This window comes from Homo sapiens, chromosome X, assembly GCF_000001405.40.
Source record: "Homo sapiens chromosome X, GRCh38.p14 Primary Assembly".
Classification (NCBI taxonomy): domain Eukaryota; kingdom Metazoa; phylum Chordata; class Mammalia; order Primates; family Hominidae; genus Homo; species Homo sapiens.
In genome coordinates, this window is record NC_000023.11 from 134,769,478 (window position 1) to 134,797,427 (window position 27,950).

General features: G+C 40.3%; 2 protein-coding genes across 48 annotated transcripts in view, besides 2 other annotated features; one reads left to right on the top strand and one right to left on the bottom strand.

The window, feature by feature from the left end:
- Positions 89–27,728, bottom strand: PABIR2 (PABIR family member 2). 26 transcript variants are annotated; one of them, NM_001166600.3, is made up of 11 exons: positions 27,644–27,728; positions 26,631–26,878; positions 24,338–24,416; positions 20,103–20,159; positions 19,746–19,789; positions 19,608–19,662; positions 19,253–19,354; positions 17,995–18,056; positions 16,409–16,470; positions 12,344–12,440; positions 89–1,877 (listed from the first exon to the last, which is right to left on the bottom strand). In NM_001166600.3, the coding sequence occupies exons 2-11, from the start codon at positions 26,726–26,728 to the stop codon at positions 1,808–1,810; spliced, it is 726 nt and encodes a 241-aa protein (NP_001160072.1). In that variant the 5' UTR covers positions 26,729–26,878; positions 27,644–27,728; the 3' UTR covers positions 89–1,807. The 26 variants fall into 26 exon arrangements, with proteins under 26 accessions (NP_001160072.1, XP_011529587.1, XP_011529586.1 ...); XM_011531285.3 differs by adding an exon at positions 2,666–2,806 and having other exon boundaries at positions 26,631–27,728; XM_011531284.3 differs by adding an exon at positions 2,666–2,806 and having other exon boundaries at positions 16,409–16,473; positions 26,631–27,728.
- The window catches only part of PABIR3 (PABIR family member 3), a 68,408-nt gene continuing 67,344 nt past the window's right edge, over positions 26,887–27,950 (top strand). For 14 of the 22 annotated variants that reach the window (XM_005262382.2, XM_011531296.3, XM_047441878.1 and 11 more), the window contains exon 1: positions 27,300–27,387. The gene's annotated coding sequence lies outside the window, so the exon portion shown is untranslated. Of the gene's footprint in view, positions 26,971–27,299; positions 27,388–27,950 lie in introns of those variants that run through there. The other 8 variants (NR_170982.1, NM_001388446.1, NM_001170780.3 and 5 more) reach the window with 3 other exon arrangements.
- Positions 27,284–27,333: a silencer, noted in NCBI's record as "silent region_21013". NCBI's record gives its function as "represses an Ori minimal core promoter by ATAC-STARR-seq in GM12878 lymphoblastoid cells {active_cell/tissue: GM12878}" and the evidence as "EXISTENCE:reporter gene assay evidence [ECO:0000049][PMID:35858748]".
- Positions 27,424–27,503: a silencer, noted in NCBI's record as "silent region_21014". NCBI's record gives its function as "represses an Ori minimal core promoter by ATAC-STARR-seq in GM12878 lymphoblastoid cells {active_cell/tissue: GM12878}" and the evidence as "EXISTENCE:reporter gene assay evidence [ECO:0000049][PMID:35858748]".

The following is a 27,950-nucleotide window of genomic DNA, read 5'->3' on the forward strand; positions in this document are numbered from 1 at the left end:
GCAATTAGACACAGAGAATAAACTACTGGGATATAGGGGCAGAAAATAATTATTATTAAGAACAAAGGACAGACTTTTAAAACACTAGTAAATTTTATGCATGTATACACACTTTATTAAATTTGCATTCTAAGATATACACAAGGCCAGCATTTCACAAAACTTCCTATTATTCCAAAAGCAGTAATCATGAAACAGTGATTATATAAGTCAATCAAGCAAAAAACATTATCTATAGGGTTGTATCATATCATCTCTTATACCTGTTTTCAAATAGAAGCCTGAAATATATGATATATATTAGAATAGGAAGAGAGAATTTTACTTTATAACAATCGCTTTTCAAATATTAGACTTTATATAAAAATAAAGGGGTCTTAACAAAGTTCATCTGTGAGTTAGCATATCTCTTTATTTCAAAACAATCCCTGCAAAAACTTAACTTTCCAGTCCATTTAAACAACAAAAACTAAAAATGAAGCTTGGTTTAAATAATAAAGTGAATCATCTTGTCTCCTAGTTCTCACACCATTGGAACAACTTCCATTTCCTGACCTAATTCTATCCCACCATTGAATTTCAAAAATTAATGTAAATACCATCATATTTCAGTTATTTCTTAACAGTGTTAAGTTCGAGCCTAAAAATGATGGCCAAGTGTCCCTTTAAGGCAAAGAAGACAGTAGGTGGATAAATATCCTGAAAGACAAAACCATCTATTATCATTATAGAGGCAGAACATTTTGACATGATCTTTTACAAACAGAATAGATACACTGCATACCATCGAAGAATTTTTTCTTTATAATGGCATACTAGGGGACAAGCTTCATAATAGATTTATGTTACGTTTGAAGAAGTAGAGACTTTTCCCAGATGAGAGCAATACAAGAAATAAAGCCATTAATGGCTGTTATGGTTACAATTTAAAATAAAGGACACATCGGATGCTGTAACAGAAGTACTGCACGCTAAGTGATGCTCTCTTGTAATTGAAAGAGAATGGGTTTCCCTTCAAACCATATGCTATTACTAGTCTCTGAGTGCCTTCAAAGCACATACTCTTCCTTTAAAATCCAAGGATCCTTGCCTTCAAAAGACACAAATGCAGTAGTTTTCATTTCTTACATTCACTTAAAAATGGATTATGATTCCAGCAGGCAAATCTGCATATTAAATATAGACAACCCAACCACAGTATCTGAACGTTAAAAGAAATCTATCACGACAGACATTTTACCTAGTTATAAATAACGTAACAATAGATCACACTCAGATTTCTTAAACAGCTCACTCAGGAGTTTCCTCTTTTAAAAATTAAATAACTTATGGTACCTCACACTTATAGCACATACACAGTTCATAGCTGAAACAGCTTCTTAAAAGCAGAATGCACAATCACATTGACTTTTTCAGCTTCTAAAAGCTTCTTTGTAGATATTAAACTGCCCTCACTACAAGGCAGTATGAACAAGAACTGGATTCTGATTCTGGTGGCAACACAATAACTATAAGGCAGTAAGAACAAGAACTGGATTCTGATTCTGGCAGCAACACAATAACTAAAACACCATTCACCACATGACAAAACAAACAAATCCAATGACAAAAAGGAATCGGAAAAAAAGCAGCAACAGAAACAGTATGTGGCAATCATTCACATAAGGCCCCTCTTCCACCATACCTTATGATATACATCCCTTATAGCATGACAATGTACCCCAAGGCACCTGAGGCCTCATAATACCACTCGAGACACTGACAGCTCCATGGACGCTTTTGTACACAGTGGTTTGTGTGTAAATAACTATTCATTCATTTGTAGATGCTCCACACATCTGGTCAAGGCAGGAATTTCTTCTCCTTGATAACACCACCTAGAAATATCAACAATATTTTATATATTCCTTAGGGCAACAGGTTTGAGGAGAAATATATCAACTGTGGTAGCAAAGTCATAAGAACCTGTGATGACTAATCCAAGCATCCTGTAAGTCCGTTTACATTCTCAGCACTAAAATCAATGCTCACTTCACACACCCCAACAGCAAAGAAGCAATAAGAGTAATGAAAGCAACTACGTATTTCTTCCCCTCTGTGAGAAATGGCATAAGCGGCTCAAACAGGAAAGGGAAACAAAATAATGTACTTGAAGCTGATGCAGAAAAATAAAAATTTAATATAATTAAAAGCAATTTATATATCATCATGAAATAAAGAGAGATTTGAAACTATGTAGTCAACAGAGGACAAAAAAAAATCTCTCAAGCAAGAGAATTTCTGATCAAATCTGTCATATCACTGCTGCGGAAAAGGACCATTAAAGGCAATACACATCAGTGCCTTTCTTAAATGTATAGACTCAAAATAGGTGTTTTTTGAGGCACTAAGAAAAAAGATTCCTCTAAGCAATCAAAAATCAGCATTTGAGATTTAATCACTAAATCCAAAATGAGATCAGCAAAACCAGATACTAGTAAGGTCACTAGGCTCACAAAATTGAACTTTGGAGAAGAGAGATGCCAAAGAGTAATAATAGCATCAGAATGTGTGAAATCTGTAAAACTTTAATCCTCATTATGGATCAAAGTTCTCTGCGTTCCCCACTAAACATTTTATGTAGGAAACAGCAGTTAAAACGTTGAATCAGAAATGGTTAAGTCACTTGGGTGAGAGATCATCCATCAAGATGAACGAAGAGCATGAATTGGAGCATGCTACTGGAGACTCTGCGGTAGCGCTGCCTTTAGCCAGCGGGTCTGAGGATAAGCCACTGCTGCTACTACTGCCATCCAAAATATCTGAACTGAAGACAAAGCAAAAAGAATTATAAGCAAATGCAACTATCAGGGTAAACATAACATGCAATGACACAGTTTCAAGAGCTCACAAATCAGTAAATCACTTGTAAATAATAAAAAAGCATAAAGCCACAGCAATGAACTACATAATATACTACATTATAAAGCCACAGAAATCCAAAGTAAGACTCTTCGAGGTCCTGTATCATTTGATTGTCCCCCCTAGAGGCACCAGACCGCCTAACCTACAATAAACGTTCCTCGTGACATGCCATGGTTTTCGGGAGGGAGTTCCTTCACTTCACTTCAGCTCAAGAAATTTCTATTCTTATGTTTACCTTCCCATCAGGCTTGGAGCAAGAGGAATGGTTACTTATTGAGGTAACCATACTCGGACTATCAGAGGTGTTCGATCAAGTACACTGCCTCATAGTTCCTCTACTCTAAAACAAAGTCTTTCAACTCCCCTAGAGTTATCACTTCCCCATTCCCAAAGGGCCTTCAATTCAAACACATTTTTTAAATGATTTCCCCCTCCAATTCTATGCCATTTATAATTCCTTACACTATTTCCTTTCTTCTTGCTTTCAAAACCCAAAGGTCTATTTCTAGAAGAGTCCCTTTCTTTGATCCCTTCAGTTATTCTCCAGTTAAGCTTCTACAATGAATAATCTACACTTGTGGTCTCAATACCCGTTGTCTATTGCCTCTTTATCCTGACAACTGGCTCCTGTTCCTATCCTTCCAGTAAAACTCCAGATCTGGACATCAAGAACCTCTATACCCAGCCCAGGGATTCCTTCCCTATCCAGCCTGGGGGCTCACTGTTCCCCAACCATCAACCTGGCCTGACTCATGAATCTGGCTCCATACTTCAGCAAGGAACTGAGAGCCTTTACAGTCTGGCATCAAGCTGCCTTTCTGGCTTTGGTTTCCATCAATCCAGTAATAAGCTCTATGCTTTATATTTGCCCTGAATTCAATCATTCACTTATTCTAATATTTACTGAGTGCCTGCCAAGTGCAGGAAGCACACTAGATATTAGAAATACAATGGTGTTTAAAACAGACGTGGTCCCAGCCCTCATTGAATTTACAGTATTGTGCAGGAGACAGACATTTAAATAATCATGCTAATAAATATATAATTATAATTTGCAGTAAAAGTGATAAAGGAAAGATACAAGGGGCTATGAGAATATATAACATGGGTAACCTAACCTAATTCGGAGGAATGAGAAAAGGTTCCCCAGAGATGATATTTGCTATAATCTGAAGGATGAGCAGGTATTAACTAGTTAAGATTTGGGAGGAAGCAAGGGTAGTTCCAGGAATCAGTGACAGACAAATCAGGAGAGGTAATTGGGCAGTTTTAGAATTTACACAGACACTTTTTATTTTTGAAAAGGAAAAAAGCATCGAATTGGAGAAGGAATTATGAATCAGGAAACATGGGTTCTAGTTTAAGTTTGGTCACTAGCTCCTTTGAAAAAGCCCATTCCAGTCTAACATGCTCTGAGTCGAAATGTTAGGAGTCTTTAATATTATCATTTATCTGAATGTCCAAGTTAATGTACTTCTAGTGTTAAAAGTAACCTATGGTACATTAGAAAGTTTCTGGGCCCTGTACTACCCTCAGTGAAATATATCACCCCCACCCTTGCTTCTCTACTCTTCTGCTTTTCTTTAAAATGTCATTTCATTCCATTGCTTGTGGATTGTTTTTAGATGGAGACAGACTACAAATAGGCTTCAGAAAAGTAAAAGTAAAAATGGAAACAGTATATTCCACACTACTCCTACTCTACGCTCACTGCTGTCAAATGCATCATTAATAATACCACTGTTAAGTAAGAAGTTTGGAAATTTTAGCTGGCTCCGATATTTTTTCAACCAAATGGCAAAATGGATCTAAAATATGAATTATTCAAACTACTGAAAGAAAGTTGCACAGATAATCCAAGACATTGGAAAATCAAAAGACCTTTCTATTTGCCTTTGGAACATATGTGATTTTTCCTCCTGCAGCTTTTTGCCTAGACTAATATTAAAATGAATTTACTTTCCTAAAGCACATATTGGCCGGGCAAACGAAGGACACGCTCTTTGCTACTTGGCAGGAAGAAATGGGCTTAGATTAAAACTTGGCCACCAAGCAGATAATCTGAATATAAATAAAGAATTCTTTATTCTAACCACCAGACTTACGGTGAGCCCTGGGTTAAAAGATTCCATTTGTAATAAGGCCTGCTTGCTTGGGTGAATCCTGTATTCATTCAAAAACACAAAACATGACTCATGCAGTGAAATTTGACTTCTAACACTGCTGATTACCTTAAGAGAAATAAGCTAATTGAGGAGCAGAAAAAAAAAGCCCTGAACATTTTATTTCAGAATGTCTTCCCTATTATTAAAATATAAATATATATAATTTTGTTCATTAACAGAAAATAGCACACTTACATTTAGTTTCCACTGCAATTTAGATTCAGAACTTGGTAAATCTTTAACCAGACATTTTCACTTAACTAAAATCTAGTTTCTGTTTGAATTAATCTGGTACAACTACTCATGGTCATGGAAGCAGAGACTTCACGTCACAAATCACTCATTGTTATTCTATCCATGTCAAGTAAGACTTACATGATTTTTTAACCCACAGCAACATCACTGCACAAAAGTAATTTTCACAGTCTACTATTAAATCTTCTACTAGAGCTTCTAAAAGCAACAAGTTCTGGTCTAATTTGAGTTTATCTCTTCTTTCTTTCCTAGCTTAAGCTCTGATGGAAGTGCTAATGAGCCTTACTTAGACTAATGGCCGAAAGCCAGACAACAGTAAAAAAGGATCTGGACAATTCAAATTGGACATAGGAATCCTTGAATCAAAACTGAACAAATTAATTCCAGCCACTGAATATACATATTGAGGCAATATTTGAATCACACAACCAAAAGTACTTATGACTTGGCTGGGCGCGGTGGCTCATGCTTGTAATCCCAGCACTTTGGGAGGCCGAGGTGGGCGGATCACGAAGTCAGGAGATCGAGACCACGGCGAAACCCCGTCTCTACTAAAAATATAAAAAATTAGCCAGGCGTGGTGGCGGGCGCCTGTAGTCCCAGCTACTTGGAGAGGCTGAGGCAGGAGAATGGCGTGAACCCGGGAGGCGGAGCTTGCAGTGAGCTGAGATTGCACCACTGCACTCCAGCCTGGGTGACAGAGCAAGACTCCGTCTCAAAAAAAAAAAAAAAAAAAAAAAGTACTTATGACTTAAAGTAATGCCCTCTGTCTAGAAAAACTAAGGATGAAGTATGAGCAACTCATTAAAACAGTCCAATGATAAAGTAATAACAAAGGTAGGATGTCCAGTGTGATTCATGCTATCACCCCATCTGGCTGAGCCACTTTGTGCCTTGTCTAGTCAATAAGCCGGGTCCTATCAGATTAATGACGGGCAGGTAAATGCACTAGAAATTAGTCACAGCCCTATCAAGCCTAGCACAAATTTTGGTATAAGGTATGACTATAGGGCATCCCCACACCCCTTGCTCTGGGTTAAACTGATATATATGGCATGTTCTCTGGTCTCTACTATCTTATCTTAAGGGTCCCAGTATTATCCTTCTGAATAACCTCTAAGTTTTTAAGATCACATATTTAAATATCAGTCTGCAGTCATGCTGAGGACAGGAGTGTTTTTGTTGTTTTTTCTGTTTTAACTTGCTCATTTTTATGGTGAAGGTAGACAGGAGTTTTAAACTATCAGCACAGATGTCTAAGTTGCTCACATAAACATCTCTAAAGTGTGTGTGTGTGTGTGTGTGTATACACATGTACTTTAGAGATGTGTACAGACATACACATTCCTGTTAATTAATGATTAAAACTTATGTTTTGTACTTGTCACATATTCATGATGAAATTTTGACATGACACATATAACATTAAAAATAGTGTTAGAACCACTAAGACAAATTTAACAAAAAATGTGTTAAAACTATCACATTAACACTGAAGCACGGGGTAAGGAAATTTGTAAGTTTTCCGTTCATAAAAAAGAAAGACTATCATTTAATCATCACCGTATGGCCAGCAGCCCTGAAAACTCCTTTATTTTATATAGTATGCTGCAGACACACACAGTCTCACCCCCAAAAGAATGAAGAGCAGATTAAGAGCTCCCAGTGTGCAGAAAGAATCAAAGGTAGACTTCTGAGTTATGCTCAAATTTTGATGTCCATAAGGACTAAATACAGAATGACATAATTCCTGCCTTGTGGTTGATAATGTCCTCCAGATTTGGTTGGCAAAGACTTGGGAATTTTCGTTTAGTAAAAGAAAAGAAAAGAAAAGAAAAGAAAAAAAAAGTATGCCTAACTGGACACAAACTCCAAATGGGTCCACACTCAAATTTCAAACTTAATTTATGCTTCAAAAGATGTCAGATTTTAAAGATTGTTATCTAGTACATAAACTTTAATCTAAAGGCTGTAAAAGCCATCTCTCCTTTTGTTGGGTGGGGCAGGGAATAGACTATAAATATTTAAATGACAAGATAACATCTAATGATCTGATCCTTTTTCTGCTCTCTAAAAGATAGAGGGCAGTTGTTTCTGTAGTTTCATTAAAATAGGAAATCATTAAAACCATCCAATGATAAAAGTAATCACAAAACTAAGATATCCGGTTTGATTCATGTTATCACCCCATCTGGCTGAACCACTTTGTGTCTTGTTCAGTCAATAAGCTGGGTTCTATCAGATTAACAGCAGGTAGGTAAATAAACAAAAAATTAGCCGCAGCCCTATCAAGCCTAGCACAGATTCCTTAGTTTTGTTATCAAGTAGGTTGCCAACCTTGGTAGCAGAAACCAGAACACAGCTGATTCCTATCTCTATCCCCATTTCTAAGAATATGAACATCTGATTCTGATTAATGAAACTACATTAAAGAGATAAAAGAGCCTGGGTGCGGTGGCTCATGCCTGTAATCCCAACACTTTGGGAGGCCAAGGCACGCAGATCACTTGAGCGCAGGAGTTCAAGACCGGCCTGGGCAACATGGCGAAACCCGGTCTCTACAAAAACAGAAAAATCAGCTGGGCGTGATGGTGCACACCTGTAGTCCCAGCTATTCGGGAGGCCGAGGTGGGTGGATGGCTTGAGCCCGGGAAGCAGAGGTTGCAGTGAGCCATGATCACACTACTGTACTCTAGTCTGGGCAATAGACCAGATCTTGTATCAAAAAAAAAAAAAAAAAAAAAAGGCCAGGTGAGGTGGCTCACGCCTGTAATCCTGTAATCCCAGCACTTTGGGAGGCCGAGGCGGGTGGATCACCTGACGTTGGGAGTTCGAGACCAGCCTGACCAACATGAAGAAACCCCATCTCTACTAAAAATACAAAATTAGCCGGGCGTGGTGGCACATGCCTGTAATCCCAGCTGCTCTCGAGGCTGAGGCAGGAGAATCATTTGAACCCAGGAAGCGGAGGTTGCAGTGAGCCGAGATTGCACCATTGCACTCCAGCCTGGGCAACAAAAGCGAGACTCCGTCTCAAATAAAGTTTCTGCAAAAGCAGGATCCAGTTTTTGTTTGTTTGGTTGGTTTTTTTTTTTTTTTTTTTTTTGAGACAGAGTCTGGCTCTGTTGCCCAGGCTGGATGGAGTGAAGTGGTGTGATCCTGGCTCACTGCTACCTCTGCCACCCAGGTTCAAGCAATTCTCCTGCCTCAGCCTCCCAAGTAGCTGGGATTACAGGCATGCGCACCATGCCCAGCTAGTTTTTGTACTTTTAGTAGAGACGGGGTTTCACCATGTTGTCCAGGCTGGTCTTGAAACTCCCGACCTCAAGTGATCCGCCCACCTCGGCCTCCCAAAGTGTTGGGATTACAGGCGTGAGCCACCGTGCTTGGCCAGGATCCAGTTTTTATATAAAAAAAATCGGGCCGGGCGTGGTGGCTCACGCCTGTAATCCCAGCACTTTGAGAGGCCGAGGCGGGCGGATCACCTGAGGTCAGGAGTTCGATACCAGCCTCAACATGGAGAAACCCTGTCTCTACTAAAAAAAATACAAAATTAGCCGGGCGTGGTGGTGCATGCCTGTAATCCCAGCTACTCGAGAGGCTGAGGTGGGAGAATTGCTTGAACCAGGGAGGCGGAAGTTGCTGTGAGCCGAGATTGCGCCATTGCACTCCAGTCTGGGCAACCAGAGCGAAACTCCGTCTCAAAAAAAAAAAAAAAAAAAATCATATTTAAAAATCTCTTAATTATAGGCAAAAATATCAGCATCATTAGTATATAAGGTGTCCCCAAAGTCTTAGCACAATTGTAAGCTTTAATAACCTCAGGAGTACAGTTGCTGCAAACTGACTAAAAACATCAACTGGAAGTTTAATTAATGACTTAACTATCTTTGACACTTAGTTTTGTGAATTTTGAGTAACAGATTTCTTTTTCAGATTATTTGAACCACACTTGGCTTGTTGACACTCTATGAGTGGCTGTGAATAAAGCAAATGTCTCTTGTGTGACGCAACAACTTTTTTTTTTTTGAGACAGAGTCTCGCTCTGTCGCCCAGGCTGGAGTGCAGTGGTGCGATCTCAGCTCGCTGCAAGCTCTGCCTCCCGGGTTCACGCCATTCTTCCTGCCTCAGCCTCCCGAGTAGCTGGGACTACAGGCGCCCGCCACCATGCCAGGCTAATTTTTTTGTATTTTTAGTAGAGACGAGGTTTCACCGTGTTAGCCAAGATGATCTCGATCTCCTGACCTCGTGATCCACCTGCCTCAGCCTCCCAAAGTGCTGGGATTACAGGCGTGAGCCACTGTGCCCAGCCACAACAGCTTTTTACGTTTAAGAATCAAAAGTTGGCCAGGCGCAGTGGCTCATGCCTATAATCCCAACACTTTGGGAGGCCAAGGTAGGTGGATCACCTGAGGTCAGGAATTCAAGACCAACCTGGAGAACATGGCAAAACTCCATATCTACTAAAAATACAAAAATTAGCCGGGTATGGTGGCACGTGCTTGTAATCCAAGCTACTCAGGAGGCTGAGACAGAATAGCTTGAACCCAGGAGGCGGAGGTTGCAGTGAGTCGAGATTGCACTGCTGCACTCCAGCCTGGGCGACAGAGCGAGACTCTGTCTCAAAAAAATAAAATAAAATAAAAAGTTTCCTTCATCACCAATGTTGACGTTCCCAGGGCTCTCCTAGACATTCACGGGTCTACAGGGTAGGGGAGTAGTGACAAGGAAATAGAAGCCTCACAATAGCCACTGCTAGAGATGGTTTAGGTTGTGCTGCTCGGAGGAATAAATGTCTGGACAATGAGATAAGACCCTTCGTAAATACTGCACCTTCTCTTTCCTTTCTTACTTATTTGCATGAACCTGTTTTACAGCATCCTGCACTGTCAGCCAAAGACAATAAAAAAATAAGTCACCTCACCCTGTATGTTTTTAGCTTGGTAAAATGCTGTCATATCTTTTACTTAACTTGGTCACTTGGTTAGTAACTAGGTAAGCAAACCTATTTATAGCCATGTGCCTATTAAAACACACTTTACCATAAAAGTGAGATGCACTTTCCACTAAGGATAGAGTTTCATCCAATAGTCCTCTTGACAAGCTTCAGAAGTTTTCTCTTTGCCATCATCTACATACCTGGAAAGGCACTCTGTACCAAAATCAGCATACTGAACTAGCAAGGACAGACAGAGATGAGAGGAAAAGAGACCATGGAGCTGAAAATAGCTAGAACAATCTAAAAGGCATCTATCTGTTCCAAGGTTAGAATAGTACTGATCAACAAGACTAACAAACTAGAATAATCTGTGACTTCTTGGTCAACTAGAAGTACAGGTTATTTCACACGAAACAATGAACAAGTGATTTGGGAAGAAGGGATCATCCATTCTTATAGCTTATAAGTGGCTTATACACTCCTTCCATTTAAGGGGTATGATCTTGCTATTTTTAAAGTGAGTGCCCTCATGGGCTTTTTAAAAAGATCTTCAGGCCGGGCACAGTGGCTCACGCCTGTAATCCCAGCACTTTGGGAGGCCGAGGTGGGCGGATCACCTGAGGTCAGGAGTTCGAGACCAGCCTGGCCAACATGGCAAAACCCCATCTCCACTACAAATACAAAAAAAAATAGCTAGGCGTGGTGGCCCATGCCTGTAGTCCCAGCTACTCGGGAGGCTGAGGCAGGAGAATCTCTTGAACCCGGGAGGCAGAGGCTGCAGTGAGCCAAGATCACACCACTGCACTCCAGACTGGGCAACAGAGCGAGCCTATCTCAAAAAAACAAAACAAAAAAAATCCTCAGCTGTAAAACTCAGGGAACAAAAAAAATTCTGAAAAACAGTACACAATTGATTACACAAGTATTCAGTGAGTTGATCAGAACATACTGAAATATTTCAAAATATTACCTGGTCACTGCTACTTATCCCTTCCCCTTCCTTCCAATGTGCACATGAGCACTCAAGTGCTCAACTTCAGGTATAGGAAAAGAAGTTAACGTTCTCATGAAAACACTGAAGGCCCTTAAAGACCTAAACTAGGATGAGTAAGATTTAAAAAACATGTGTGTGACTAGACCGTAAGAATCAGGAAATGTTATTATAAAAATGAAACCTTAGCATTGTTCTGAAATATTTCATAATTTTCTAAAAGATAACAATAGATAATGCTAATCAGAGAATACTATGCTTAAGAGAATCCTGGTATCCTCTGCTAAGTCAAAAGGACTGGATACAAAATGCAGGCAGAGCAGCTACAATCAATACACATTACCCACAGCCACCCAGAGACTCTTTCTCACACCAGCCAGCAGTTGGCACTGCCACACCATTGGCAACTAATGACAGGCTGACCTAACAGGAGCTGGGAACGAAAGCGAAGGTGTCAGAAAGACATATATATTTCCAAATGAAATACTGTTGACTTTGAAATAATCTGTTTTTTCACATTATCCTCCATAGAGATTTCCCCTTCATGGGGGCATGGATAAGAAGTTGAAAATATTTTAAATTAGAATCTTTGGACAATTTTGATGGTAAGGAGCTGGGGGGCAGAAAGCATAATTTTATTGAGCTAAACACCTCAAGTGAAGCTTCTTCAGACTTGAGGTGATGAAAAAATTTTAAAACTTAAAAGAAGAGAAGCTTCTTCATTCACTGTAATAATTTTTAAAAATCTGTTAGTTACCAAGTCACCATGTTTTAGGACCACATTTCTGGATTCCTAGAGAATGCCATTTACTATGACTTGATAAAAATCTAAGTCAACTGCTATTCAGATTCATTTGCTATTAACGAAGCACCTGTATCAACTCTTTCTAATCTCTTTGCAATGGTGTTTTGAGTTTTGTCAGGTATCTGTTTTATAATATTGTCACATCCCCAAAATAATGATATAAAAAATAAATATTAACAAAATTCAAAAAAAAATATTTTAAATTATCCCAATATACTTTCAATGTGGCTCTTTTAAAATGGATTATACTCTAATATACTTTTCATTTTATTTCATTTTTTTACCATGAACTGAGATCAGACAGTTGCGCGGCATCTGGAGATAACATATTGGTAGTGCCTTGGAAGAGTCTCTTGGGCTGACTTTCTGTCTCCATTTCACCTAAAACAGAAAGAGATGATGCTACTATAAAACAATTTTACAAATACAGGCGTGGTGCTAACATATGATGACCTTTGTTTAACCAAAGCTCAGAATACTTCTTCAAACCACTTCTTAAAACTATTTTCCCATGTGCTTTAACATGGAAGAAATATGCTTCCACATAAACTCAATCAAAAAGTTGGCAGCCCTAAAAAACTTCTCACTCATTATCCACAGCGTGCTATGGACATATTCACATTAATAGGAAAGTAGAACACTGACTGCATCAGGCAAAATGAAGCAAGGCTGACCACAGTAGAGATAAGGAATTCCCAAATAACTGAAACTCACAGTCAATATTGTATGCTACATGGTTAGCAAGGCCTATTGGTTTTATATATTTTGATACCTGAACATTTCCTGAGATGGTGTCAAACTGGTTTAAAAATGTGTAGTCTGATAAGTAGTGTATAAGTAAAAAGTTGCTTTCACACTATTTAATGAAAATGAAGATTAAAAAGATAAGTTTGAAAACACACCTGTAATCAAAAGCAAATCTTACTCAATTCACAAAACTGGTATTGTACTGACCACCTCAATCATACAGATCTTCTCAGAATTGCTAATAGAAAAACTTTGCACCAACAGGGATAATGCTTAACATTTTGCTACCAGGAGTACAAAGAGTAAAACCCTAAGTTAGAATAATCTCCTTTAAAATCAGGCTCTGATTTTATTTAAAACATACACATTCCTTGGTTCTGAAGCTCTTCATCTGAGCTTGAAAACGGAATGTTCAAGACAATTTAATTCATGAGCCTGTCTATACTCCAGTAGAAAATTAGTAACTTTGAACTTAAAACTGTACAATTAGAATGAAAAAAGATCAAGCAAGAACAAACGCAACATTCATTTTGTCCATGTTATCAACTAATTCATATTATCTTTCCTCTGGGACTATTCTGAAAATTGCTGAAAATCCTCAAAAGTTGTTTTTTTCCATGCTTTAATATGCAGCTTTTAAAAGTTGCTGCTGGGCTTTTGAGTTCGCCTCACTAGCAAAAGACTTTAGCTCTTTTGAGCAAAGAATTCCTCCATCTGCTGGTGTATTTCGGAATAGCTGTAAAACTAAACAACCATACTAATTCCTTCAACTTCCTGCAACAAATTTTAAGTTAGTAATAATAACAACAATAATAGCTTTATTTCCAACTGTTATTTTCACTTACTGGCTACTGAGAACATTCCTAGGACTACAAATAACTCCCTATAAGATTAAGGAAAGACTGTTTATAAAATAAAACTTATAAACTAAATACAAATATTGTCACCATATCAGGAACTATTTTCCAGAGCACACCATCTTTAATTTTAAGTTGTTTGAAATACAGCACTTTTGGAATCTGTGTATGATCCTATGATTGGAAAGTTTTCAAAGCCACAAATACCTGTTCCCCTAACGTTAGAAAAGTTGGTCTGTTTATTGGCCCTGAAGGTGATCCGCACAAAGAAACCACTTGCTGAATTGCTTTTAAAAGTACGGTTGGCCAGGCACGGTGGCTCACGCCTGTAATCCCAGCATTTTGGGAGGCCGAGGCAGGCAATCACCTGAAGTCAGGAGTTTGAGACCAGCCTGGCCAACATGACAAAACCCCATCTCTACTAAAAATACAAAATTCTCTGGGCGTGGTGGTGTGCACCTGTAATCCCAGCTATTTGGGAGGCTGAGGCAGAAGAATAACTTGAACCCAGGAGGCGGAGGTTGCAGTGAGCCAAGATCATACCACTGCACTCCAGCCTGGGTGACAGAGCAAGACTCCGTCTCAATTAAAAAAAAAAAGTTATTGTTAATGACTGGTCTCAATTAAAAAAAAAAAGTTATTGTTAATGGCTGGGCATGGTGGCTCATACCTGTGTAATCCCTGCAATTTGGGAGGCCAAGGCAGGTGGATCACTTGAGGCCAGGAGTTTGAGGACAGTGTTGCCAACATGGCGAAACCCTGTCTCTACTAAAAATACAAAAATTAGCTGGCCATGGTGGTGTACTCCTGTAATCCCAGGTACTTGGGAGGCTGAGGCAGGAGAATCGCTTGAACCCAGGAGCCCAGGAGGCAGAGGTTGCAGTGAGCTGAGATTGCACCACTGCACTCCAGCATGGGTGACAGAGCAAGACCTTGCCTCAAAAAAAAAAAAAAAAAAGTTATTGTTAAGACTCGTTTAAAATGACACGTTGACACTTGCAATCATGTAGTCATATCCCCAGGAATAATGAATAAACCTGTGTTGCCGGCTGGGCGTGGTGGCTCATACCTGTAATCCCAGCACTTTGGGAGGCCGAGGCAGGTGGATCATCTGAGGTCAGGAGTTCAAGACCAATATGGTGAAACTCTGCCTTTATTAAAAATACAGAAAATTCGCCAGGCGTGGTGGTGGTGGGTGCTTCTAATCCCAGCTACTCGGGAGACTGAGGCAAGAGAATCGCTGAGCCCAGGAGGTGGAGGTTGCAGTGAGCCAAGATCACGCCACTACACTCCAGAGTCTGGGCAACAAGAACGAAATTCGGTCTCAAAAAAAACAAACAAAAACCTGTGTTGCTTTTTTTTTTTTTTGAGACAGGGTCTCACTCTGTGGCCCAGGCTGCCATCTCGGCTCACTGCAACCTCTGCTTCCTGGGCTCAAGGAATTCTCCAGCCTCACCCTCCCAAGTAGCTGTGACAACAGCACAAGCCACCAACGCCTGCTTAATTTTTGTATTTTTTGTAGAGACGTGGTTTTGCCATGTTGCCTAGGCTGGTCTCAAACTCCTGAGCTCAAAGCAATTCTCCTGTCTCGGCCTCCCAAAGTGCTGGTATTACAGACCTGTATTGCCTTTTTAAAGAGATGCCATCAGGTGCCCTTTATAAGCATCTAACACTAGTGTTGACTGATACTAAACTAAACTATTTTAGCCTACTGCTTTGTGGTTCAAAATAAGGTAACTGAGAGCACCCTGTTATATAAAAAACTCCATAGAATTGAATATAAGGCAATTCTTGCTTTGATGAGGCATAATTTGATGAGGGGGTAAACCTTACCTTATATTTGAGTATACAGCACATTTATGGATATGTTTGCTACGGCATTAGCATATATTTCTGCAGTTTATAAACTATGCATCTCTTTCATATTTAGATAACAGAGAGGCAATTTTTTGAATATATAATGATAATATGAATATATGAATAAAACTGTTATGAAGTATAAGAAAATATAGATGTATCAAATAACTCATTTACAAAATTGAGAATCAGCACAGCAAACATTTGGAAGAATACTTTTGAGTTTCCCTAGAACACAAGAGAGCAATGCTGTTAGCTCATTTCAGACAGGAGTTCTAGTTTTTAATTCAAGCTTGGCTAGGTATAAGACCAGAAGCGTGATGCTTATCTTTTTCTTTTTCCCCCCAGCTTTACTGAAGTATAAATGACAAATAAATTTATATATATTTAAGGTATACAATGTGATGATCTGATGTATGTACATACTGTGAAATGATGATCACAGTCAATTTTTTTTTTTTTGAGATGGAGTGTCACTCTGTTGCCCAGGCTGGAGTGCAGTGGTACGATCTCAGCTCACCACAACCTCCGCCTCCCAAGTTCAAGCGATTCTCCTGCCTCAGCCTCCCAAGTAGCTGGGATTACAGGTACCTGCCACCACGCCCAGCTAATTTTTGTATTTTTAGTAGAGATGGGATTTTGTCATATTGGCCAGGCTGGTCTCAAACTCCTGACCCGAGGCGATCCACCTGCCTCGGCCTCCGAAAGTATTGGGATTACAGGCGTGAGCCACCATGCCCAGCCCACGGTCAAGTTTTTAACACATCTTTTGCTTCACCTAGTTACCTTTCGTATGTGTGTGGTAAGAACACTTAAGATCTACTTTCTTAGCAAATTTCAAGTATGTGACACAGTAGCATTAGCTATAGTCACCACGCTGCTACATACCTTTTCTTTTAAGAGGACCAAGAACACTGGGTCTAATGCACTTGACTGGACTCTGACTTCTCCTGCTTTGATGAAAAAACAAACAGGATAATGTGAAGAACATCCACGATGCAAGATAAAACAGCAGTCCAGCCCAACAAATACATAAATAAAATGGACAATCTTATCAATGACTGAAATGGAAAATTCTTCTGTAATTGAGTAACTGAAATCCAATACATGATTTGAACCAGCATATGGCAACCTGGAATAATACAGCATTTTAAGTCCTTTAAAAAATATTCTATATGACAAAATACCCCCAACAGTTTAAAGAAAAAAAGATACCCTATTTAAAAAGTATTTTGGGGCTGGGCCGCAGTGACTCACGCCTGTGATCCCAGCATTTTGAGAGGTCAAGGTAAGCAGATCATCTGAGGTCAGGAGTTCGAGACCAGCCTGACCAACATGGTGAAACTCTATCTCTACTAAAAACACAAAAAATTAGCCAGGCGTGGTGGTGCATGCCTGTAATCCCAGCTACCCAGGAGGCTGAGACAGGAGAATCACTTGAACCCGGGAGGCAGAGGTTGCAGTGAGCTGAGATCGCACCATTGCACTCCAGCCTGGGCAACAGGAGCAAAACTCCGTCGCAAAAATAAATAAATAAAGTAATTTGGATTTGATTGATCTATGAACTTTAACATTTTTTCCTTATTCTTAAAAAGGATGTATTATTGTGGGGGGTATGTATGTGTGTCTTTCCCCACTAAATATAAATCAGCATTAAATTCCCCCTAAAAAACTCTGGGGCTGGGCGCTGTGGCTCACGCCTGTAATCCCAGTACTTTGGGAGGCCGAGGAGGGCACGAGGTCAAGAGATTGAGACCATCCTGGCCAACATGGTGAAACCCTATCTCTACTAAAAATACAAAAATTAGCCGAGGGTGGTGGCGCATGCCTGTAATCCCAGCTACTTGGGAGGCTGAGGGAAGAGAAATGCTTGAACCCAGGAGGCAGAGGTTTCAGTGAGCTGAGATCACACTACTGCACTCTAGCCTGGCGACAGAGTGAGATTCCACCTCAAATACAAAAAAAAAGAAAAGAAAAAACTCTGGTTAAAATGTTAATGGTAGATTATAGGCAGTGGGTATATGGTTGTTCACTGTGAAATTCTTTCACTTTTGATGTCTGAAAATTTCACAGTGAAATATTGGGAAAAAGAGTTAATCTTCTTTTTTTTTTTTTTTTTGAGACAGAGTTTTTGCTCTGTTGCCCAGGCTGGAGTATAATGGTGCGATCTCAGCTCACTGCAACCTCCGCCTGCTTGGTTCAAGCGATTCTCCTGCCTCAGCCTCCCGAGTAACTGGGATTACAGGCGCCTGCCACCAGGCCCAGCTAATTTTTCTATTTTTAGTAGAGACGAGGTTTCACCATGTTGGCCAAGCTGGTCTTGAACTCTTGACCTCAGGTAATCCACCAGCCTCGGCCTTCCAAAGTGCTAGGATTACAGGTGTGAGCCACTGCGCCCAGCCACAAAAAGCTAATCTGAGAGATAAATGTAATGAATGGTACTTCAACCACATTTAAAATTCAAGTTTGCTTACCTTGAAAATCGTCTTGGACTGGGAACTGGACTTGGTGGCAATCCACTGCTGCTCACGAACATCTGTAAGAAGGGTGAAAAACATTACTAGAAAAAACATATTCAATATTAAAATAGTTCTAGCACTCCAGTTTTCTTTCTTTTTTTTTTTTTTTTTTTTTTTTAGAGACAGGGTCTCTCTTTTGCTCAAGCTGGAGTGCAGTGATGCGATCATAGCTTACTGCAGCCTCGAACTCTTGGGCTCAAGCCATCTTCCTGCCCCACCTTCTTGATGAGCTAGGACTACAGGTGTGCGCCACCATGCCCGACTAATTTTTTTGTATCTATTTTTTTTTTTTTAATGTAGAGATGGGGTCTCGCCATGTTGCCCAGGCTGCTCTCGACCTCCTGAGCTCAAGTGATCCTCCCACCTTGGCCTCCCAAAGAGTTGGAATGATTACAGGTATAAGCCACCATACCAGGCCCACAATCATTTTCAAAAGGTTCTTTTCAAAATGACAGAAACAATATCTTTAGAATTGCTTGGCTGTCTGTGTGTCTCATAACTAAATTACATATATATATATGTAATATATATGTAATATACACGTTATATATATGTAATATACACGTTATATGTGTAATATATACACGTTATATATGTGTAATATATACACGTTATATATGTGTAATATATACGTTATATATGTGTAATATATACACGTTATATATGTGTAATATATACACGTTATATATGTGTAATATATACACGTTATATATGTGTAATATATACACGTTATATATGTGTAATATATACACGTTATATATGTGTAATATATACACGTTATATATGTGTAATATATACACGTTATATATGTGTAATATATACACGTTATATATGTGTAATATATACACGTTATATATGTGTAATATATACACGTTATATATGTGTAATATATACACGTTATATATGTGTAATATATACACGTTATATATGTGTTATATATGTTATATATGTGTTATATATACGTTATATATGTAATATATACGTTATATATGTAATATGTTATATATATGTAATATATATGTTATATATATATATATTTTAAGAAGACCAAGAATATACATATATATATGTATATTTTCCAAATTACTGCTGTAGATTTTCATTGATTTTCCTTCAAGGCATTGGATACTTTAAAAGTGGGGTGATTTGTGTGTGTTTTAGAGTAAACAGCTCAGTTTGTGAAATACACTTAATATCTTGTCAGTTATCCTACCTTTCCGAATCCCCTGGTGGGTGAAGGTGCTGGAGAAACTGGAGTGAAGTCAATTCTCTTAGGAGAATATAATTTCTCCGGCTTGTCAAAATCACTGTCACTCTGTAAACATAAAGTGTCATCTCCTCATAATAAATTCAGCACATCACAGCTCTTACTTACTACTATAACACACCCAGATTTTCCAAGGAGAAAGGTATAGACTCTAATATTCTGCTGGAAAAGCAGAGATCAAAAAACAAGTATCAATTTGGAAGTAGAAGGGGAAAGAAGTGTGCGAAAAAATTAATGAACCTAGTGAACAACATAAAAGTTTCTAGAAAATGAAAACCAAACAGACATGAGCAAACTTTACCAGGCTCAAGCTCTCATCCCATGATTGGCTTATCTGCATTGCCGTTTGCATTTCCCTAAAATAAACAAAGGGAAGGGCCGTCAGTGTTTACAAACAAGACACTTATTAGGCTAGGCCCTGCTCTTGCAAAGCACTAACCTTTCATGTGCAGTTTCTCTGTTCACCATATCCAGGCCTTCTTCCTGCAAAGACAAACATATATGCTAAAAAGGCAGGATCACTGACAAAATATTAACTCTTCCACACACTGCAATTTTTATCCACATAGTTCTCTGCTTCAAATAAAATAAAAAGACTTTTTCTACCTCATTGACATAATCACAGTAGAGTGGAACATTCATGCCGCTTGTATATTTTATCTACACGCTCCAGAAGAATTATAATCTGTCTCCAACTAACCAGAGTTGCATCCTAATTCATTTTAATATCTACGTCTTTAAAATAAAAATGTAAAATCCAAAAAATTTCCAATCTGAGCTAGTAAGTAAAATTTACCCTTTTGATCTGATGCAGTCTGCTACTAGGAATACGATTAGGTGAGGATGACAGCAACTGGAAAGAAAAAGTAAACATTTACTATTTTCTGAATCACAAAGCAGCAGTCTGCTGTCAGTACTGGCGTACAACCTCTTCCTAGGTAAGTTTTCATATTCTTCTTCAAAATTTAGCTCTTTAGATCACTGAACGTTAATGCACTAAAGGCAGTACATTTAGTCTTCAAAAAGTACACCAGGTGTCCAACCTCAAAGCGCCATCTGTTGCTAGACAGACACTGACTTCAGCACTTTTCCCAAATGAATGTGAAGCTACGTAAATTTAGAGAAATAAAGACTATGGGCCTTAGAAATATCCATTATCCCACTTATCTAAAATAAAGAACAATATGAGAAGGGAAAGAAAAAAAAACACCAATGTTATTAATTTTTATTATCAATGCAGCAATGGGGGAAGACAGGCTAATAAGTCTAGTATATAATATTTTGTCTATGATTGATGATTTTCAAAAACACTTTAAAACTGCAATAAGGAGGTTTTGCTTTCACGATCCAAATCCATTCTAAAATCTCATCATATGCTATCACTACAAATCTTACTAGTTAACAAAAAACAATTTGGAAAGACAAGGTGTATCTTTAAAATAACTGATGCTTTCCCTTAGATCATCATTTTTTAATAACACAAAGCAGAAATGATTTGGAGGCCAAATTATGTTCCTTCACAATAATTACAAGCTGGTCACAAACTGTAAGACACAATTCATATCAACAGGTCTTAGAGAGTTCTAGTGGTCATAATATAAACGACTACTATTTATTCTATAACGAAATGCAAGTGAACTTGTAATACTATAAAACCAAATAACAATTATCCTGTTTAAGAGGCCCTACACTATTAAAACTTATTTGAATACTAATGTAGTGAGCAGTATAAAATAGTGATAAAATGCTCTAAGTTTCTTTTTATTTTTTTTTGAGACAGAGTTTCGCTCTTGTTGCCCAGGCTGGAATGCAATGGCATGATCTCTGCTCACTGCAACTTCCGCCTCCCAGGTTCAAGTGATTCCCCTGCCTCAGCCTCCTGAGTAGCTGGGACTACAGGCACACACCACCATGCCCAGCGAATTTTTACAACCATTAAGGGAGACTGGAGTATAAGATAAATGTATTTTAGTAGAGACGGGGTTTCATCATGTTGGCTAGGATGATCTCGATCTCCTGACCTCGTGATCCTCCTGCCTTGGCCCTCCAAAGTGCTGGGATTACAGGCGTGAGCCACTGCGCCCAGCCACTGGTGAACTCTTAATAAGATCATTTAGAAAACACCAAGCTACAAGGCAAGCAAATACAGCAGGAAGACTCTCCAACAGGAGACTGTGGAAGAGAGCGCAGACGTGTCACTTAGGGAAACCCAAGAAACTGAAGAAGCAGTGAAATGATCAGGAAAGCTGACATGAGGATGGCCAAAAACTAACTGGGGAGAAAGTCAGAAATTTACATGCTACATTTACATAATATACAACTTGACAATTTTAGACAAAACTGGAAAGAAGACCAGAAAGAAGAACAGAGCAAAGCTGTGTGTAGTACCAGAAACAACAGGGCAATGTGTCGGCTTAAAAAAAAAAAGAAAAGAAAAAGCCAGAACTCCAAGGAGGTGCTGGCTAATGGGGTTAAATAAAGCAAAGAGGTCAAGGGGGATAAGCAACGAGGCCCCTGACATTGGCAGTTAAGTGGGTACTGGTGACTTTTGCAAGAACAGTTTTTTAATGGAGTTGTGGTAGAAGCAGCATGATTACAAACTGGCCAGAAATGAGGAGACAAGGAATTAGAGGCAGTGGAGTGTAGATTATGCTTTGAAAGAACTTGGAGAGGGGAAGGAAAAGGGAAGGAGAGACCTACGAAAAAGAAAACAGTTTGTTTTCCCCCATCAGATGAGTGAGTCTGGAGAAGGTGGAAAGAAGAGAGCCCGTGAGGAATAGGGAAAAGATACAAGATAGAGAGGAGATGATAGACCGAGCAAAGCAACAGGAGAGTCAAAAGCATATGAACCATTGGGGAGAAATGCCATATGTGAAGCTAAAGGCATTTCAAGGCAAAGAAAGCTGACATTTACACAAGATAGGTGTCTGTCTTCTTTGTAAAGTAAGAAGGGTCATCTGCTCAAAGTAAAAAGTGGTTACACTGGAAGCGGACAGAATCTTTTAAAAAAGTGAGAATACTGCTTTGAAGAATATCATGGGGCCAGAGGCACCTTAAATCCAATTATGTCCCAAAGAATTCATCTTTTTCCCCTTCAAACTACCAATCTCTACTCCTACTAAAGGCAGCGCCAACCCCCGGTCACCAAAATACAAAATTTCCATCACTTGGAGTCTTCCTTCTCTTAGTCCTTATATCTAATCAGCTGGTGAGCCATGAAGATCCTACATCTGCATATCCAGTCCATTTCATTTGTAAACACCTTACTCATCACAGGTTACCATGGGACACAGATAAACGTACTAAGATTTATAGCACATCCTGTGATAGAGTGTATATAGTGTAATTAATATTATGATAGTTGTGGAAGCCTGCCCAAAGGAGATATAAGGATTAAACTGAGTTTTGGAAGACCAAAAAGCTAGAAAGGAGAGGGGTAGGAATGAAAAGATGATAAGGATCAACAAAGAGCAGTGAGTCACCATGGCCCTTTCAGAAAACTAGGTATTTCAGTGAGAGATGAACCTAGACCATGGTTGATAAGAATCTTCTCATCTTACAAAAGAGGTAAGTGAAGTGTAGAGAGGCAAATTCACTTTCCCTTCTTTGCTATGCTACTGTTATCAGGAGCATGGCTGTATAACATGTATAAACATTTTTTCATATATCCAGCAAAAATAAGTAATATTTTCCAGTGTCCTCAGAGAAGGAGGTGAAATGAATGAAACCTCCAGATAGCTAACATTTCCCCCTGTAAGTATTTTCAGCCATTTCAGTTGGAAATCTTTCTACAATGTGTTCTATTTTTCCCTTTCTTAAACAAATTATACCAAACAGAATTGCACTGGGAGATCTCTATTCTAATCCCAGTTCTACCACTTACTAATTGTGCGATTCTGAGCAAGTGACTTCTAACGTCTTGAGTTTTAGCTGCTGCTTCTTTTAATTGGGAAAAATATCTTTGCCCTCCCTATTTCATAGGGGCTGTTATGACAATTAAATGTGTGAAAGTACTTTGTAATACGTAAAATACTATGCAAGTGTAGGTATTACTAGAATTTATGAATAAGTTAATGACCCAGGTATCCTTAAGAACGTAAATTATTATATGATTCTACACCAGTGACACGCTTGGGGTGTACTAACAGGCTCTTAGCCCTTATACTAATTAGCCACAAACTAATTTTTTAAAAACATCTGTTTTTCAGTTTTTCCCTCTCCTCCCTTGCTAGCAGCTATTAGTATACTTTTAACCAAAATGCATCTCTTCTAATTTGCTGCTTCTCACACACTATTGGATTGGAAGCTTATTATAATTGTGCATACATTTTAGATGATTCAGAGGTCAGAGGCTCTCCTATAAATAAACCGATGAACCTCTGTGCACAGACTATGGAAATCTAGTTCTGCCATTTAGGGATCTATCTTCTTTCACCTCGGATGTCTTCCAGAGAATTGAAGCTGCTTGATAAGTGAGTTCCACATGTGAACTGCTACTATATAAAAAACCTCATCATAATTTCTCCCAATGCGACCAACTAATAAAGCAATCCCTGACAGCTCTGGCTATAGAGATCAGTCACAATCAGTAACTCTTCAGAGAATATAAATACAAGCATTTTAAAGGAGTCTTCATTTTGGAAAACCAGCATTGTTTAACAGGTAAGTGTCAGAAACAAACACTCTGCTACCTTTAAGTGATTTGTGCATCCTACGACAAATGAAGACCACTGTTCTCAGCTATAATTAGGAGTTAATCCTGACTTACCTCACAAGCCTGATGCAAGTAGTGACAAATAATAATGAACAATTTTAAAAAATACAAAGTCACACAGCAAAGAAAAATTTTTAACCATGTATCCTTTTGGTACCAAAAGCTGAATGGCCACAGCATAAGCAGTAAACAACATAGGTAAAATCAATCTTTTCTTTCTTAAACAATTGTGCATAGCACATCATTTTAAGAAAGAACTCCATTTCAAAGTATTTTCCCCAATCTAAATCACTTCAGATACTTACTTCTATACTTACCAGGCTGTGACGGCTCATAATTGTTGTACTATTCCTCCGAGTTCTAAGTGTGTAAGGTTGGAAAACCTGTGAAAGGTCACTGAAAAAAACAAAAACAAACAAACAAAAAAAACAAAATTAGTAATGTTTTCTAATGGAAGATCTCTTTCAAATACATTAGCATCAGTTATCTAGTTAACAACGAAATCTTCCATGGCTCCTCATTTCATACAGAGAATGAACTCCTCACCGTCCTCTCTGCAGAGCTTCCCAAGTGGTATGCTGTGGATTATGGGTTTGCAGAGATACTGATCTCAGTGGTCGGGGGGCAGCTGGGAGAGGTGATGCAGGCGGAGCTCCAGACTGGTTGACTCTAGCTGCTTCTGGTCAGAGCTACGCCCCCAAACCGGTTACCACCAGACCTGAGCAGCCTCATCTGTTTACCCCAGAGAACCAATGAGTACTGTTTTCTGTGTTTGCCATGATGCGAAAAGGGGTGAGGAGCATTGTTCTACAATATGAGCTGGATCAAGACATCTCCCCTCTCACCCTAAACATGTGTCCTACCTTTGAACACTGCTGTTTGATGGAATAAACATAGCTGAGATTGTTGCCCCTTCTGCCTCAAATGCTCTCCCTCCTGCCAACATCTATTAAAATCCTTCCTGTCCTTCCACATCCATCTTGAATGCCATACCCTTCAGTGAAGGCATGGCACAAACCTCTCTTCAATCCACAAACGGAATGCAATCACTCTCTCCTTTGAACCCAAAGAGTACACTGGGAGATGAGATGCTTCTTGAGACACCTACTTTGTCTCTTAATTAAAGAGAAATGTGGATGTGTCTTAAACCCATTGGTAGAGAGGTGTTTTGTTAATCTTTGTATAATATCCCTGCAGTGCCTAGCAGAGGGCGATGCCCACAATAAGGATGAGAATTCCAGAAGGATTTTCAGAACTGAACTGCACTGGGCTTTCAGGGCCCACTGAGATCACCTAATTCAGCTCTCTTAATTTTCAAAGAGAGAACAGCCTCAGAAAGGTTAAATGACTCATTCGTGATCATAGCTAGTTAGTGAAAACTGGGACCAGGCCTGGTCTCCTTGCCCCTTCTTGTGTCACATCATGCTGTGTTTTCAGTGATTATTTAAATCATGATTCAAAAAACAGTATGTTTTTGCTACAATAGTCTAAATACAGGTCAATAGAATTGCTGAAGTCCCTAGCAATTGCTTGCTTATGAGATTTCAAAAGACAATCAGAAAAAGACCAGTTTATTGTTATAGTAACCAAAATAAATGCAGGGCCAAGGACAGCAACAGGAAAGCAAAAAGTCACTCCTACATTCCCTCAGTTTCAAAATTATACTTAATAAATGAAAAAGTCAACCTGTTTTTTCCCCAAAATATGGATGTTATAATCAGTTCAACAGCAAGGATTATCTCTTTCTTTGCCTTCACTGTGCTTGATTAATATGTTTTTGGCTAATTGTACTCTCATCTCCTTTTTTGGACTAATGCCATTTCTACAGGGTCTCGCAAATTGGCTCTCTACCTAAGATGAATTGTCTCCTTATAAAAGTGAAATACAATAGGCTCAGGAGGTGAGCCAACCTAACCTTCACTATTACAAGATGCTACCTTAAAACAGACCCTCGATGACTTATTGACATGAAAACACAAGACCCTACCACTGAAATTGAAGAGTCGATTCTCTCCACCGTTTTCTAAAACCTGCCTTTTCACTGACCCTAAGCTACAGACCACCCTTCTTTTTTATTCACTGCAATGCATTTCAGGCAGTTTTAGAACCTGAAAACATTAGGGCAAATCCAAATCACGTACTACGATGTGAACATACCACTTAATTACAAGTTATTAGATAAATTGTGATTTATTAAAGTAAACATCTGTTAATGCCAGGATTCCTAAACTAAGCTTAGAAATAGCAGCTCTGAGAGACAGGTGTCAAGTTGCACATCTAGTTCCAGGGGCTTCGATCTGACATTCCCTGGTGTAAGTTAGTCGGGGCAAGCAACCTGTCAGAAGAGCCAGAAGCTTTCTGCAGTTCCTTTTACAGAGGGACAACATGGCCCCAGGTAGAGGGGGACCGTTTCCTCCACACTGCCCAAAGTTGGAGATTAAACTTTCACTCCACCTTGGGACCCAAGTCACTGTCAAGCAAACAAGTCGCCACCCCCTCAGGTTGAAGAGCCCAAATGAGCTCAAACGTGCACTTTAAGGAAGGAAGATTGCTTGCATGGGGGCAAGGAGCCCCTGAATCCTGTACTCCATCCTCCCCAACCCTGCTCACCTGAGCCCATGGATTAGGGGAGCGCTGCTGGATCTCCTCAGGGTTCCCCCATAAGATGTGTCAGGCTCAAGGTCCAGCTCCATTTTCTCCTGAGCCATGTCAGACTTGCAGGCAGGCACAGCGGGCAGTGCTCAGCTCCTGGTGCTTAGCTATGGACTCCCAAGACTCTCACTGCAGGACTGAGCTGCTGGGGACTGGCAGCTGGGGGCGGGGGCTAAGGGGCGGAGGCTTGGGGACGGGGGCGGGGGCTGGGGGCGGAGAAAAGTAGGAGAGGAGGAGGGAAGGAGGATGATGATGAGGAAGGGAGGATGATGGTGAGGCAGGAGAGGAGGACGAAGAGGTAGTGGTGGAAGGTGACAGAATGAAGGAAAAGGATGAAGGAAAGAAGGATGGAGGGAAAACAAGGATGGAGGGAGGAGGGAAGAGGGAGGGAAAAGGATAGGTGGAAAAGCAGGAGGACAGAGAGGATAAGAGGAGGGCAGAGGGGGGAAAGGGAGAGGAAGGGGGCGGAGGAGGGAGGGGAAGGGAGAGGGCAGAGGGGAGGGAGGAGGACAGAGGGTAAGGGAAAAGAAGCGCAGGGGCGGGAAAGAAGGAGGTGGTCTGGGAAGAGGAGAGAGGAGGGAGAAGAGGAGGGGGAGGAAACTAGGCAGCGGCGGAACTCATGCTGCTATCTTTCCGGCTGAGGACCACAAGCGGGGCCGGGCTACAGATGCTGCGGCTGCCCGGGCAGCGCTAGCACCGAGGACCTGACAGTCGGGTAGGACCCGGCCGGGCGGCCTTGGCGGCTCCAGCTCCCCATGCTCGGGGACCCGGTCCAGCCCCCCATGCTCCCGGACCCGGTCCCGGAGGCTCCTCAGCCCTGGGATCGGTGCTTCTCCCCTCCCTGCCCCCCTCCCGCCTCGAGGACAGGTTGGGGGTTCGGCCTCTCAGCCGCCGCCGCGGTGCCTCCTCTTCCTCTCTCGGGTTCTAATGGTCTGGGGGAACCCGTTGGGGCCAAGACCAAAATCTACAACCTGCAGTCTCTTCCGCCTCCCACGCTTCAGAAGCGGGAACCTCCGCTGGGCCAGTTCTTCCGCGTCCGGGCACCCATCGGGTCCTGCGCACGCGTCCAGCGGCCACTCCAATGGGCCCGCGGGCACGGAGCGTGCGTGGGAGCCCCGCCTCGAAATCCGCCTCCAAAGGGGAGGAGCGTTTCCAGGGGGCCCGGCGCCTTCCTCGATGGCATTGGCCTGGGGACCCTGGCGCCCAATTTTGAAAAGAACCAATAGTTTGAAAATGCTGGAGCATCAGCTTTCAGGAGGAGTTTGGGCCAATATTCAT

What these genes read in the sequence shown, in the direction of transcription:
- PABIR2 (XM_011531282.3), bottom strand. Translation starts at nt 26,728, where the DNA reads ATGGCTCAGGAGAAAATGGAGCTGGACCTTGAGCCTGACACATCTTAT. An exon ending in CCACCAGGGGATTCGGAAAG is followed by an intron (nt 18,057 to 19,252) that starts GTAGGATAACTG and finishes CCCTTCTTACAG; the next exon opens with ATGTTCGTGAGCAGCAGTGG. An exon ending in AGTCCAAGACGATTTTCAAG is followed by an intron (nt 16,474 to 17,994) that starts GTAAGCAAACTT and finishes TTTTCATCAAAG; the next exon opens with CAGGAGAAGTCAGAGTCCAG.